We start from the raw sequence: 16,433 nt of genomic DNA on the forward strand, positions 1-16,433 counted from the left end.
CCAATAGGAAATGGGAAATACTATACATAACCACTAGGTATTAAATGTTCAAAATGACAAAGTAGATAAATAAACATGGAGAAGGAAATCTAGTGCTTATGATTCACTTTTACTTGTAAAAGTAAAGACTATAAAAGGGCAAGAGAAAAAGAATATAGAGACTGAAGATAAATGATTCTGAATTTCCAATTGATAAAAGAAGCAAGGACTTCCACTGACAGAATCAATCATCAGAGAGCTTTCTTTCTTGCGTTTTGTGATTCTGAGGAGTTCAGAACAAATCAGACTGAAAAATGCATAATGTACAATGGCATTATGTACCTACATTCACCCTTTTTTATTATGACTTTTAGGTTCAGGGGTACATCTGCAGGTTTGTTATATAGGTAAACTGCATGTCATGGGGGTTTGTTGCAGATTATTTTGTCACCCACCAGTAAGCATAATACTCAATAGGTATTTTTTCTGATCCTCTCTCTCCTCCAACCTTTCATCCTCAAGTAAATTTAGATTTTTTAAATTTTTTATTTTTAACTTTACTTGTAAATATATAGTAGGTGTATATGTTTATGGGGTTTATGAGATATTTTGACACAGGCATGCAATGAATAATAATCACATCACAGTAAATAGGATATCCATCACTTCAAGCATTGTGTTAAAACAATCTAATTATACTCTTTCAGTTATTGTAAAATGTATAATTAAATTTTTTTAACTATAGTCACCCTGTTGTGCTATCAAATATTAGCTCTTATTCACTAATTCTATTTTTTATACCCATTAATCACCCCAATCCCCCCAACCCCTGCCCACTACCCTTCCTAGCCCCGGTGACCATCCTTCTATGTTCTTTCTCCATGAGTTCAATTATTTAATTTTTAGCACCACAAATTTTTATTCCCACACAATTTTTAGTCCCATATTTCACTTCTTCGGTTAAGTTAATTCCTAGGTATTTTACTTTATTTGTAGCTCTCATAAATGATATTACTTTCTTGATTTCTTTTTCACATTGTGCGCTGTTGGTGTATAGAAATGCTACTGCTTTTTGTATGTTGATTTTGTATCCTGCAGCTTTACTAAATTTGTTGATCAGTTCTAATAGTTTTTTGGTGGAGTCGTCAGGTTTTTCCAAATATAAGATCAGGTTTTTCCAAATATAAGATCATATCATCTGCAAACAAGGATAACTTGACTTCTTCCTTCCCAATTTGGATGCCTTTTATTTATTTCTCTTATCTGGCTGCTCTGGCTAGGGCTTCCAGTACTATTTTGAATAACAATGATGAAAGTTAACATCCCTGTCATGTTCTAGATCTTCAAGAAGAGGTTTTCAATTTTTCCCCATTCAGTATGATATTAGCTGTGGGTCTGTTGTAAATGGCTTTTTTTATGTTGAGGTATGTTCTTTTTGTACCCAGGTTTTTTAGGGCTTTTCATCATGAAGGGATGTTGAATTTTATCAAATGTTTTGTCAGCATCAATTGAAATGATCATATAGTTGTTGTCCTCCAGTCTGTTGATACAATGTATCACATTGATTGATTTACATATCCTTGCATCTCTGGGATAAATCCCACTTGATCATGAGGAATAATCATTTTAATGTATTGTTGGATTTGATTTGCTAGAATTTTGTTTATTTTATTTTATTTTATTTTATTTTTTTGAGACAGAGTCTCTGTCACCCAAACTGCAGTGCAGTGGTGCGATCTCAGCTCACTGCAACCTCCACCTCCTGGACTAAATCATTCCTCCCGCCTCAGCCTTCCAAGTAGCTGGGACTACACATGCACACCACCATGCCTGGCTAATATTTTGCATTGTTAGTAGAGACAGGGTTTCGCCATGTTGCCCAGGCTGGTCTTAAACTCCTGCACTCAAGCAATATTGGCCTGCAGTTTTCTTTTAATTTTCTTTTCTTTTCTTTTCTTTTTTTTTTTTTTTTCTGGAGGCGTCTTTGTCTGGTTTTTGTATCAGGGTAATACTGGCCTCACGGTGTAAGTTTGGAAGTATACCCTCTTCCTCCATTTTTTGCAATAGTTTGTGTAGGATTGGTATTAGTTATTCTTTAAACATCTGGTAGCATTCAACAGTGAAGCCATTGGGTCTCAGGTTTTCTTTACTGGGAGACTTTTCATTATGGCTTCCATCTCACTACTTGTTATTGGTCTGTTTGGGTTTTGAGTTTCTTCATGGTTCCATCTTGGTAGGTTGTATGTGTCTAGTAATTTACTTACTTCTAAATTTTCCAGTTTATTGGCACATAGTTGTTCGTGGTAGCCACTAATTATTCTTTGAATTTCTGCAGTATCAATTGTAATGTCTCCTTTTTCATCCCTGATTGTATTTATTTGGGTCTTCTCCCTTTTTTTTAGTCTGTCTAAAGGTTTGTTAATTTTGTTTAACTTTTCCAAAAAACAACTTTCCATTTTGTTGATCTTTTGTATTGTTTTCTTCATTTCCATTGCTTTTATATCTGCTCTTTATTATTACTTTTCTTCTACTAATTTTGGGTTTCATTTGCTTTGGCTTCTCTAGTTCTCTCAGATGCATCATTAGGTTATTTATTTGAAGTTTTTCTTCTTTTTGGTTTAGGCATTTATAGCTACAAACTTCTCTCTTGGTACTACTTTCACTGTATCCCATAGGTTTTGGTATGTTGTGTTTCCATTATTATTTGTTTCAAAAATTTTTTCAATTTACTTATTTATTCATTGACCCACTGGTCATTCAGGAGCATACTGTTTAATTTCCATGTGTTTGTAGAGTATCCAATATTCCTCTTGTCACTGATTTCTAGTTTTATTCTATTACAGTCAGAGAAGATGTTTGATATTATTTCAACTTTTTTTTAAATGTTTTAAGACTTGTTTTGTGACCTAACATATGGTTTATCCTTGAGAATAATTCATGTGCTGAGAAGAATGTATATTCTGTAGCCATTGGATGAGATATTCTGTAACTATCCATTAGGTCCATTTGGTCTACAGTGCAGATTAAGTCCAATGATCCTTTACTGATTTTCTATCTGGGAGGTCTGTCCAATGCTATGGGGTATTGAAGTCTCCAGCTATTATTGTTGATAATGGTTTGGCTACACCCCACCCAAAATCTCATCTTGAATTGTAATCCCTATAATCCCCACATGTCAAGGGAGAGACCAGGTGGAGGTAATTGAATCATGGGGGCGATATCCCCCAAGCTGTTCTCATGATAGTGAATTCTCATGTGATCGGTTTTGTGTTTGGTAGTTCCTCCTGCATTCATTCTCCTTCCTGCTGCCTTGTAAAGAAGGAGCCTTGCTTCCCCTGTCTTCCACCATGTTTGTAAGTTTCCTGAGGTCTCCCCAGCCACGCTGAACTGCAAATCAATTAAACCTCTTTCCTTTATAAGTTACCCAGTCTCAGGTAGTTCTTTATAGCAGTTTGAAAACAGACTAATACAATTATATTTTTGTCCATCTCTCTTTCTTTCACTCTAATAATATTTCTTTTATATATCTGGGTGCTCCAGTATTGGGTGCATATATATTTACAATTGTTATATCTTCTTGCTGAAGTGACTCCTTTATCATTATATAATGACTTTCTTTGTCTCTTCTTACAGTTTTTGTCTTGAAATATATTTTTTCTGATATAAGTATAGCTACTTCTGCTCTTTTTTGGCTTCCATTGGCATGGAATATCTTTTTCCTTCTCTTTATTTTCAGTCTATGTGTCTTTAGAGGTGAAATGCATTTTTAATAGGCAACAGATCATTGCGTCTTAGTTTTTTGTCCACTGGGCCACTCTGTCTTTTGATTGGAGAGTTTCATCCATTTACATTCAATGTTATTATTGATAAGTAAGAACTTATTCCTGCCATTTTGTCATTTATGTTTTCTGGTTGTTTTGGGGTATTCTCTTTCATTCTTCTTTCCTGTCTTCCTGTTAGTGAAGGTGATTTTCTTTTATGGTATGATTTAATTTATTACTTTTTACTTTTTGTGTATCTGTTGTATGTTTTTTGATTTGAGGTTACCATGAAACTTGCAAATACTATGTTGTAACCCATTATTTTAAACTGATGATACTGATTGCATAAACAAACAAGCAAAAAGAAAACATAAAAACTGTATACTTTAATTTTGTCCCCCCACTTTTTAACTTATTGTTTCTCTTTATATGTTATTGTGCTATGTCTTGAAAAGTTGTTGTAGTTATTTTTATTGATTCACATTTTAGTCTTACTTAAGCTAACAGTAGTTTATATACCACAATTACAGTATTATAATATTCTTTGTTTTTCTGTGTATTTACTATTTTTTTTTTTTTGAGATGGAGTCTCTCTCTGTCACCCAGGCTGGAGTGCAGTAGCACGATCTCCACTCACTGCAAGCACCGCCTCCCAGGTTCACGCCATTCTCCTGCCTCAGCCTCCCAAGTAGCTGGGACTACAGGCGCCCACCACCATGCCCGGCTAATTTTTTGTATTTTTAGTAGAGACGGGGTTTCACTGTGTTAGTCAGGATGGTCTCGATCTCCTGACCTCGTGATCCACCTGCCTTGGTCTCCCAAAGTGCTGGGATTACAGGTGTCAGCCACTGTGCCCAGCCTGTGTATTTACTATTACCAGTGAGTTTTGTATGTTCAGATGGTTTCTTATTCCTCATTAATGCCCTTTCATTTCTGATTGAAGAACCCCCTTTAGCATTTCTCATAGGACAGGTCAGATGTTGATGAAATCCCTTAGCTTTTGTTTGTCTGGGAAAGTCTTTATTTCTCCTTCATGTTTGAAGGATATTTTCACCAGATATACTATTCTGGGGTAAATTTTTTTTTTCCTTCAGCACTTTCAATATGTCATGCCACTCTCTTCTGGCCCGTAAGGCTTCCACTGAAAAGTCTGCTGCCAGATGTATTGAGGTCCATTGCATGTTATTTGTTTCTTTTCTCTTGCTGCTTTTGAGATCCTTTCTTTATCCCTGATATTTGTGAGTTTGATTATTAAATACCTTGAGGTAGTCTTCTTTAGGTTAAATCCGCCTAGTGTTCTATAACCTCCTATATATGCAGAATATAATATATACATTTAAATGAGTACTATCCTTTCAAACTTTAGACTAACAGGAAATAACAATCACTATTATCTAGTGAGTGCTTACCATATGCCAGCCAGGCACTGTTCCCAGCATGTGACATGTATCACCTCATTTAATCTCACAATAATCCTAGGACATGGGCACTATTATTATCATCCCCAGGTTGCAGATGAGGAAACTGAGGCACAGAAAAATTCAATCATTTAAAACTCTCAATAGCCGATCTAGAATTTAAACCCAGGCCATCTGATTCTAGAGTTTGTGCTCTTGATAATGCCCTGTCTCTGTCAATACCATGGTCTTTTTCCAATTATGCTTATTTTTGAAAATCCCTGCCCAAATCTCATATTGAATTGTTATTCCCAGTGTTGAAGGTGGGGCCTAGTGGAAAATGACTGGATCATGGGGGTGGATTTCTCATGAATGGTTTAGTACCATCCCTTTAGTGCTGTTGTTCTGACAGTGAGTGTGTTCTCATGAGTTCTGGTTGTTTTTAAAGTGTGTGGCACTTCCTCACTTCCCCTCTCCTGCTCCTGCTCTGGCCATGTGATATGCCTGCTCCCCCTTCACCTTCCACCATGAATGTAAGTTTCCTGGGGCCTCCCCAGAAGCCAAGAAGATACCAGCGTCATGCTTCCTGTGCAGCCTGCAGAACCATGAACCAGTTAAACCTCTTTTCTTTATAAATTATCCAGTCTCAGGTATTTCTTTATAGCAATCCAAGAACGATCTAACACATCTCTTTTTTGAAATTTCCCTCAGGGCCACTTTATTGGTCACTGAAGAATACATATTTCTGTAATATATAATCTTTACACATTTTATTTTGTTAAAATGTTTAACATCCTACTTGATCTCATTTACTCACTGTTGTAGTAACTATGTAATATATAAAGATAAAATAAGCAAAGAGAAAACAAAATAAAATAGACCCTACCATCAAGGTACTTACTATCTCAAATGAAAAGCATTTTCTTCAGGCTTTATTAGGGTAAAAATCAGAAAAGTTCAAAGATATACTAGAACTCAATAAAAATATACACTAATTTTTATCATATTAATATTAAAAAATGACTTGTTTTCACTTCAATTATTCAAAGTATTTCTTAAGATTCTGCTAGTCAACTCCTCTAGGTCCTGGGGAAACAGTGGTGAACAAAGGAGACGCAAGTCCTATGCTTATGGAGCTTGTGTGTAGTGGAGAGACACACTATAAGCCAATTCAAGTACAACATAAGGTCAGGTAGAGGCAAGACTATGAAAAAATAAAGCAGTCTGAAGGGAGGTTGCTATTTGGGGCAAGTGATCAGGGAAATCCTCTCTACATAAGTGGCATTTAAGCAAAGAGCAGAATGAAGTAAAGAAGTAAACTCTGCAGCTATCTCTGAAGGAAGAGTATTCCAAGGAGGAGTATTTTGGAGATCTGAAGGAACAGCAAGAAGGGAAAGGACAGGGAATTAAAAATTTGTTACAACAAAAAGAAATAATTTTCTTTCTAATATGTTATTTCCACTAATGTTTATAATCATGCAAGTACTTGATCATTCATGTAGCAAATATTACTTGTGAGTTTTAAAGTACCAGACTTAGGACTGCTGGGGATTGTGATGAACAAAATCATAATTGCTTATCACAAAATCAACAAAAAGTTCAATTGTGTGAAGGAAAAGTACATAGAGTGTGTAGATCAGAGGAAATAGACCTTGTCTAAGGGGGTTCAGCTGAAGGCAGGTAAGAATTAACCAGATGACAAATAGAAAAGAGTATTCCAGGCAAAGGGAGCTGCATGTGCAAAGGCCCTGTGGTCAGAGGGAGCCCAGATGAAACAGCTAGGAATTGTTAAAGTTTGGTTTGTGGTAAAGCTGAAGAACTTGGCAGAGGCCAGAGAATGCAAGGTTGTCTGCTTGTGGCCATACTGAGGGCTTGGTCTTTGCATGAGCAGCTGGAAGTCACTTAAGTGTTTTAAGCCACTTAAAATTCTCAAAATTTTGAGTGTATTATAGCTTTCTTAAGAATTCTATCAACTTTATGTATCAAAAAAATAATTTTTTTAAAAATTTAAGAAGTGCAGTTAATAGGCATGCTTCACTTTGTCTCTACTTAATCAGTTTTACCTACAGGTTTATTTTGATCCATCCAATTTAAAGTTCATGAGCTTCTCTTCTAATTATCTAGTGTCATAATATGAATGGGATTATACTAAGCCATAGACTAATAATTCCCATTCCAGGAATAGTTGAAGTTTTCCATTTTTATTGGAAAACTTTTATTGTATTTTATACATCATACTAGCTTCATAAATCCCATATATGTTCTGTGAAGAACTAGCTGAAAATGCTTCCCAGAGCCTCAAACTCTATACTCTTCCCAAAAAATGAAGTTGAAGATGGTGTCTAATTTTCTTCTCTGGAATTGGAGGAAGACATAGAGATAAAAAATGGAAACAAGTACCATATTTGGATATTTTTTTCCCTTGAGAAGGATAACAAATACCTGCCTAATAATAAATCACATCAGATGAATGAAAAGAACCTTTACTGACCTTCTGTTCTAGTACAATCGGTCCAGCAATGTGCCCACAAACCCTTTATCTAGCAGCTGAATACAGAATAAATGCTCTGAGGCACTTCCTACAAGAGTTGACAAAGAGACCTTTCTTCCATTCAGTAAGTTAATATCTGAGGAAGCAAAAGCAAATGGAAAGGGCAAAATGACATGGGGACATCAAACTCTGGGGACCCTGCAGGGAAGGGAAAGGGGTGCCTAGGCATCTCTATGGCATCCAAATGTCCACATCCCAGGTCCACATTTATAGGCTCAGACAAGCTTAGAAAAATTAATGAAAATAAGAATTATAGAATTACAAAAAAATTCTAGAATGTCGGGACCCTAGCCAGACTCCTACTCACATTTCCAGTACAAGTCTATGGCATCATACCTCAAGCAATGGCCCTCCAGCTCTCTGCCTGGAATGCCCCAGCCCACGCCCTGGCATGCCATAAGCACCTGGGCATAAGCTCCCCAGAGCAGCCCTCAGTCAGATGCTGAGGGCTCCCCCTTGTGATTGGAAAAAAAATACTCCAACCTCTCATCCGGTGCGCAGGGCAACTCAAAGACATCCTGTACACCAAGCTAGTCCAACCCCCGGCCCACGGACCGCATGTAGCCCAACATAAACTCAAAAATCTTTTTTAAAACATTATGAGATTTTGGTTTTTTTCAATTTTTAAAAGCCCATCAGCTATCTTTAGTGTCAGTGTATTTTGTGTGTGGTCCAAGACAATTTTTCCTCTTCCAATGTAGCCCAGAGAAGCCAAAAGATTGGACACCCCTGCTTTACACTATATCCCAGATAATACTCTATGAACCTAATTATTAATGTTCACTGTACTGGCTGCTTTCCCTCCCAATCTCACTTCACCACTCTCCTAATAGTGTTTCCTGGGACCTCCTCCTAAATAAACAATTTCACTCAAATTCTTGTCCCAGATTCTGCTTTTGGAGAATCCCAAATTAAGAAAGAAACACAATATGATGTAGGACTGAGTTCTTTTAACTCCATACTCAGTTAAGGACATCAAAAACTAGCAAGAAAGACGGTTTGTGAGCCCAAATTCATAGTAAAACCTATCAGACAAGAGGCATTTCTAATAACTCGGAGAGATGAGAGAAGGGAGTAGAAAGAAATTTTTAAAGCAATTTAAAAGAATAAGAAGTTGACAGAAAGATAAATGGTAGTAAGATATACTTTACATGCTATTAAAACAATCATAGTACACATACATGAAATAATAGCTTATCTATATGAGTAGGTTCAGCTTACAAACCCTTCAGTTAATTTAAAAATTAAATGAAAATGTGAAGCCGTGTTTGCGCTAATACGGCAAAAAAGTTGGCATGTTTTGGATTTCTTCCTACGTATTCTATGGATTCTGTCTCTTTCTCTTACACACACACACACACACACACACACACACACACAGTTGATACTATCATATGAGCAATTCTAAACTTAATTCAAAGTCTCAGGAATAAAAATATGCTTTCACCAAGTATGACCAGCAGAAATTTAAGTTTGTGTTTTAATTGTTCTGCAATTTGACAATCAAATCTGTTCAGAGATATATGATTACTTGACACTTTTATGATCAAATTTTATTGTTTATTTTATAAAAACAGTACACAGTGAAACAAAAGAAAATTATTCTTCTCTCAGAAAGTAACGAGTAGGTCAGCCTTACTGTTAAGAGGATAAGTAGACATCATATAAGCTTGCAGCTTACAAGGTACATGTTAGCCTGCCACAGTTTCTTTGCATCTTCTCATGAAACCACTTTCAAGAATAAAGATGTAAAACATATCCAGTAAGATAAATGAAAAGTCACCCTCTTAAAACATTATTCTGAACACTTCTGCATGAAAGGACTTTGTAAAATTAGGCTGCTATTTTTAGACAATTTCTACTCTTCCTCAAGAAGAGTCGTGTTTAATTCTATCCCCAGGACTCAATTGTACAACTATAGGCTAGATTTAAAAAAAAATAAAAGTGTCTTGATTGCTTGACCTGTTGAATCAGATTTCAGAATATTTCCCTGAAATCTGCTTTTCTACTCTTTACCATAACTGTTTGCTAATTTCAGCAGATTCAGACAAATGACATGTGATCAGCAAAAGAAGATTCTTACTTCATAATAATTAATGGCTTGCAAAGGAACCCCCAAAGTATGCCAAAGAATTTAAGTGTCTCGATTTATCAAAATATAAACACTCATTTATCTAAGAAGCAATTTACTTTGTAAACATATGTCTAAGTATACATATCATTATTTATTCATTCACACAATAAAGTTTATTCAGTGCCTATTATTTGCCAGATACTAGGATAGGTATTAGTGTACAAAAATCCTTGCCCTGCACTTGAATGTTTATAGGTAGAAAAGAGAAAAAGAGTCATACATACAAGAGGGTACAATAAAATGTTCCAAGTATCATGTTGGGTAGCATATCTATTACTTCATTCTCAGATTCATTAAACAACTATTGCACACCTACTATATGCCAAGGATCATTGCAATTTACAATTGATATAAGTAATCCCCATGAGGGGCATGATACCTTAGAAGAAAGATTATTTTTGTGGTGGTTGTTTTAAGCATACATAATGATCCACAATTCTAGTAATGTGTATTACCTAGATAATTGAAAAAACTTATAAAATAAGCTTTCTTTCCTGAAATTCTCTTTCCTTTGCAAGTCAATAATATAAATGAAAGCCTAAATCAGTTAAGTATGATGTTTGAGAGCCATAAAAGAATTGTCCTTACCAAGAATACAGGATTGTTCCAACCACAGAGGTGAGTTTACTGTTTTCTTGTTTTTGCTTTGCCAGGCCAAAGTCAGCTACAATTCACAAAACAACGCAATATGTTACTATATTTTCCCAGAGTTATCATTGTTCCTTAGCATTTGACAATCTACACAATAACTACTACACTTCATAACCAAAGGCTTTTCTTTTCTTAATGCTATATATTTTGATATAATGAGGTTTATCATTTTAAAAAAACATAAAATAAGTCTTGCTGACTGAAACATAGGACAAAGTACTTATTGAAACTGTGATTCCATTTTTTAGGTTATCCTTTATAATTTTTAAGTAAACAGAATGAATCTAACATTTGGCATAGGGCAGTCATGACCTTGTCAGGCTAAAAGAAAAGTAAGGTACACCCAAATAAATACCATGAAGGCCTGAAAACCTAAAATTAACTGGCATCAACGTGTACTAATCACAGTACAAGTATGTTCAAAATAATCTCAAAATATTTATATATCAACAACATATTCTGATTTTTATCACAGAACACCAAATATCTATATGTAATATTAGCACAATCTTGTACTTTTCAAAATATCTTCAGGTACTTCTCTTTTTTCTCTCTTTTTTTTTTTTTTTTTTTTTGAGACAGAATCTCACTCTGTCACCCAGGTTGGAGTGCAGTGGTGCGATCTCGGCTCACTGAAACCTCTGCCTCCCAGGTTCAAGCAATTCTCGTGCCTCAGCCTCCCAAGTAGCTGGGATTACAGGCACGTGCCACCATGCCCGGCTAATTTTTGTAGTTTTAGTAGAGACGTGGTTTTACCACGTTGGCCAGGCTGGTCTTGAACTCCTGACCTTGTGATCCACCTGCCTTGGCCTCTCAAAGTGCTGGGATTACAGGCGTGAGCCACCAGGCCCAGCCTGTCTTTTATAAACCACTCAACAACTTAGGTCAAAATGATAAAAACAGATATTTTTCCTATCCATTTGCTACAGATTCACAGATATTTCAAGAAATTTAATTACCAGGATTGCACAAAAAAGACAATGCAGAACCAGTGCAAGAATTCAAGTTGTTTTTCCAAATAAGCTTTGATATTCTCAATATCATGTTGTAAAGCACAGCAAATGCTCATGGAATTTCACTGGAACAAACTTCAATGCAGTATTTGATTATATATACTAAAATACCTTTCAGGTCAAAAATATTCCAAAGTCATTTCATTTCAAAATAATAAAAATTCGCATTATTAATAATAATACACGTTTACTAAACAACAAGTTTATACTAGCATAAATTCAGCCACTTACATGAATTGCCTCATTTAACACTCATAGCACTCTGAAAGACAGGTATTATCATTAGTATAGCTTAGTGCTTAAAAGACAGGACTCAGGAACTGGACAGCCTCAATCTGAATACTGACTCTATTATGAGCAACTTGAGTAACCCTGGGCAAGTTATTTTATCTTGTTTTCCAATAGCTTTCTTTTTTCTTTTTTTTTTTTTTTTTTGAGACGGAGTCTCACTCTGTCACCTAGTCTGGAGTGCAGTGGCGCAATCTCGGCTTACTGCAAGCTCTGCCTGCCGGGTTCACGCCATTCTCCTGCCTCAGCCTCCCAAGTCGCTGGGACTACAGGAGCCCGCCAGCACGTCCAGCTAATTTTTTTATTTTTTGTATTTTTAGTAGAGACTGGGTTTCACAGTGTTAGCCAGGATGGTCTCGATCTCCTGACCTCATGATCCGCCCACCTCAGCCTCCCAAAGTGCTGGGATTACAGGCGTGAGCCTCCATGCCCGGCCTCCAATAGCTTTCTTATCTATAAAATAAGGATTATAATAATATACTGCTGATATATATTGTAAACAGAATAGTATGAAAGTAAAATTTAAATAATTTAATATATGCAAATGTCATGTATGTATTATATATATTTTTTATTATACTTTAAATTTTAGGGTACATGTGCACAACGTGCAAGTTTGTTACATATGTATACATGTGCCATGTTGGTGTGCTGCACCCAGTAACTCGTCATTTAACATTAGGTATATCTCCAAATGCTATCCCTCCCCCCTCCCCCTACCCCACAACAGGCCCTGGTGTGTGATGTTCCCCTTCCTGAGTCCATGTGTTCTCATTGTTCAATTCCCACCTATGAGTGAGAACATGCGGTGTTTGGTTTTTTGTTCTTGCGATAGTTTGCTGAGAATGATGGTTTCCAGCTTCATCCATGTCCTCCAAAGACATGAATTCATCATTTTTTATGGCTGCATAGTATTCCATGGTGTATATGTGCCACATTTCCTTAATCCAGTCTATCATTGTTGGACATTTGGGTTGGTTCCAAGTCTTTGCTATTGTGAATAGTGCCGCAATAAACTTACGTGTTCATGTGTCTTTATATCAGCATGATTTATAATTCTTTGGGTACATACCCAGTAATGGGATGGCTGGGTCAAATGCTATTTCTAGTTCTAGATCCCTGAGGAATCGCCACACTGACTTCCACAATGGTTGAACTAGTTTACAGTCCCACCAACAGTGTAAAAGTGTTCCTATTTCTCCACATCCTCTCCAGCACCTGTTGTTTCCTGACTTTTTAATGATCGTCATTCTAACTGGTGTGAGATGGTATCTCATTGTGGTTTTGATTTGCATTTCTCTGATGGCCAGTGATGATGAGCATTTTTTCATCTGTCCTTTGGCTTCATAAATGTCTTCTTTTGAGAAGTGTCTGTTTATATCCTTCACCCACTTGTTGATGCAGTTGTTTTTTTTTTATTGTAAATTTGAGGGAGTTCACTGTAGATTCTGGATATTAGCCCTTTGTCAGATGAGTAGATTGCAAAAATTTTCTCCCATTCTGTAGGTTGCCTGTTGACTCTGATGGTAGTTTCTTTTGCTGTGCAGAAGCTCTTTAGCTTAATTAGATTTCACTTGTCAATTTTGGCTTTTGTTGCCATTGCTTTTGGTGTTTTAGACATGAAGTCCTCGCCCATGCCTATGTCCTGAATGGTATTGCCTAGGTATTCTTCTAGGGTTTTTATGGTTTTAGGTCTAACATTTACGTCTTTAATCCACCTTGAATTAATTTTTGTATAAGGTGTAAGGAAGGGATCCAGTTTCAGCTTTCTACATATGGCTAGCGAGTTTTCCCAGCACCGTTTATTAAATAGGGAATCCTTTCCCCATTGCTTGTTTTTGTCAGGTTTGTCAAACTTCAGATGGTTGTAGATATGCGGCATTATTTCTGAGGGCTCTGTTCTGTTCCATTGGTCTGTATCTCTGTTTTGGTACCAGTACCATGCTGTTTTGGCTACCGTAGCCTTGTAGTATAGTTTGAAGTCAGGTAGAGTGATGCCTCCAGCTTTGTTCTTTTGGCTTAGGATTGACTTAGCAATGTGGGCTCTTTTTTGGTTCCATATGAACTTTAAAGTAGTTTTTTCCAATTGTGTGAAGAAAATCATTGGTAGCTTGATGGGGATGGCATTGAACCTATAAATTACCTTGGGCAGTATGGCCATTTTCACAATATTGATTCTTCCTACCCATGAGCATGGAATGTTCTTCCATTTGTTTGTATCCTCTTTTATTTCATTGAGCAGTGGTTTGTAGTTCTCCTTGAAGAGGTCCTTCACATCCCTTGTAAGTTGGATTCCTAGGTATTTTATTCTCTTTGAAGCAATTGTGAATGCGAGTTCACTCATGATTTGGCTCTATGTTTTTCTGTTATTGGTGTATAAGAATGCTTGTGATTTTTGTACATTAATTTTGTATCCTGAGACTTTGCTGAAGTTGTCTATCAGCTTAAGGAGATTTTGGGCTGAGACGATGGGGTTTTCTAAATATACAATCATGTCATCTGCAAACGGGGACAATTTGACTTCCTTGTTTCCTAATTGAATACCCTTTATTTCCTTCTCCTGCCTGATTGCCCTGGCCAGAAATTCCAACACTATGTTGAATAGGAGTGGTGAGAGAGGGCGTCCCTGTCTTGTGCCAGTTTTCAAAGGGAATGCTTCCAGTTTTTGCCCATTCAGTATGATATTGCCTGTGGGTTTGTCATAGATAGCTCTTATTATTTTGAGATAGGTCCCATCAATACCTAATTTATTGAGAGTTTTTAGCATGAAGCGTTGTTGAATTTTGTCAAAGGCCTTTTCTGCATCTGTTGAGATAATCATGTGGTTTTTGTTTTTGGTTCTGTTTATATGCAGGATTACGTTTATTGATTTGCGTATGTTGAACCAGCCTTGCATCCCAGGGATGAAGCCCACTTGATCATGGTGGATAAGCTTTTGGATGTGCTGCTGGATTTGGTTTGCCAGTATTTTATTGAGAATTTTTGCATCAATGTTCATCAGGGATATTGGTCTAAAATTCTCTTTTTTGGTTGTGTCTCTGCCAGGCTTTGGTATCAGGATGATGCTGGCCTCATAAAATGAGTTAGGAAGGATTCCCTCTTTTTTTTATTGATTGGAATAGTTTCAGAAGGAATGGTACCAGCTCTTCCTTGTACCTCTGGTAGAATTCGGCTGTGAATCCATCTGGTCCTAGACTTTTTTTGGTTGGTAAACTATTGATTATTGCCTCAATTTCAGAGCCTGTTATTGGTCTATTCAGAGATTCTACTTCTTCCTGGTTTAGTCTTGGGAGGGTGTATGTGTCCAGGAATTTATCCATTTCTTCTAGATTTTCTAGTTTATTTGCGTAGAGGTGTTTATAGTATTCTCTGATGGTAGTTTGTATTTCTGTGGGATCGGTGGTGATATCCCCTTTATCATTTTTTATTGCGTCTATTTGATTCTTCTCTCTTTTCTTCTTTATTAGTCTTGCTAGCAGTCCATCAATTTTGTTGATGTTTTCAAAATACCAGCTCCTGGATTCATTGATTTTTTGAAGGGTTTTTTTGTGTCTCTATTTCCTTCAGTTCTGCTCTGATCTTAGTTATTTCTTGCCTTCTGCTAGCTTTAAAATGTGTTTGCTCTTACTTCTCTAGTTCTTTTAATTGTGATGTTAGGATGTCAATTTTAGATCTTTCCTGCTTTCTCTTGTTGGCATTTAGTGCTATAAATTTCCCTCTACACACTGCTTTGAATGTGTCCCAGAGATTCTGGTATGTTGTGTCTTTGTTCTCATTGGTTTCAAAGAACATCTTTATTTCTGCCTTCATTTCGTTATGTACCCAGGAGTCATTCAGGAGAAGGTTGTTCAGTTTCCATGTAGTTGAGAGGTTTTGAGTGAGATTCTTAATCCTGAGTTCTAGTTTGATTGCACTGTGGTCTGAGAGACAGTTTGTTATAATTTCTGTTCTTTTACATTTGCTGAGGAGTGCTTTACTTCCAACTATGTGGTCAATTTTGGAATAAGTGTGGTGTGGTGCTGAAAAGAATGGATATTCTGTTGATTTGGGGTGGAGAGTTCTGTAGATGTCTATTAGGTCTGCTTGGTGCAGAGCTGAGTTCAATTCCTGGATATCCTTGTTAACTTTCTGTCTTGTTGATCTGTCTAATGTTGACAGTGGGGTGTTAACGTCTCCCACTATTATTGTGTGGGAGTCTAAGTCTCCTTCTAGGTCTCTAATGACTTGCTTTATCAATCGGGGTACCCCTGTATTGGGTGCATATATATTTAGGATAGCTAGCTCTTCTTGTTGAATTGATCCCTTTACCATTATGTAATGGCCTTCTTTGTCTCTTTTGTTCTTTGTTGGTTTAAAGTCTGTTTTATCAGAGACTAGGATTGCAACCCCTCCCTTTTTTTGTTTTCCATTTGCTTGGGAGATCTTCCTCCATCCCTTTATTTTGAGCCTATGAAATTCTGGGTTGAAAATTCTTTTCTTTAAGAATGTTGAATATTGGCCCCAACTCTCTTCTGGCTTGTAGAGTTTCTGCAGAGAGATCAGATGTTAGTCTGATGGGTTTCCCTTTGTGGGTAACCTGACCTTTCTCTCTGGCTGCCCTTAACATTTTTTCCTTCATTTCAACTTCGGTGAATCTGACAATTATGTGTCTTGGAGTTG

At 36.6% G+C, this 16,433-nt stretch overlaps 1 protein-coding gene across 29 annotated transcripts in view; it reads right to left on the bottom strand.

The window, feature by feature from the left end:
* Positions 1–16,433, bottom strand: part of NEK10 (NIMA related kinase 10) — a 262,900-nt gene that overhangs the window by 139,402 nt on the left and 107,065 nt on the right. For 25 of the 29 annotated variants that reach the window (XR_001740034.2, NM_001394969.1, XM_047447506.1 and 22 more), the window contains one exon: positions 10,411–10,486. The exons of 1 other annotated variant lie outside the window; for it this stretch is intronic. Coding sequence is in view for 27 of the 28 variants with exons in the window: in NM_001394969.1 (NP_001381898.1) it covers positions 10,411–10,486 (76 nt within the window). In the remaining variant the exon portion in view is untranslated. Of the gene's footprint in view, positions 1–9,226; positions 9,420–10,410; positions 10,487–16,433 lie in introns of those variants that run through there. 3 more of the 29 variants (XM_047447512.1, XM_047447511.1, XM_047447510.1) reach the window with 1 other exon arrangement.

The sequence above is a fragment of the Homo sapiens genome, chromosome 3, assembly GCF_000001405.40.
Source record: "Homo sapiens chromosome 3, GRCh38.p14 Primary Assembly".
NCBI lineage: Eukaryota > Metazoa > Chordata > Mammalia > Primates > Hominidae > Homo > Homo sapiens.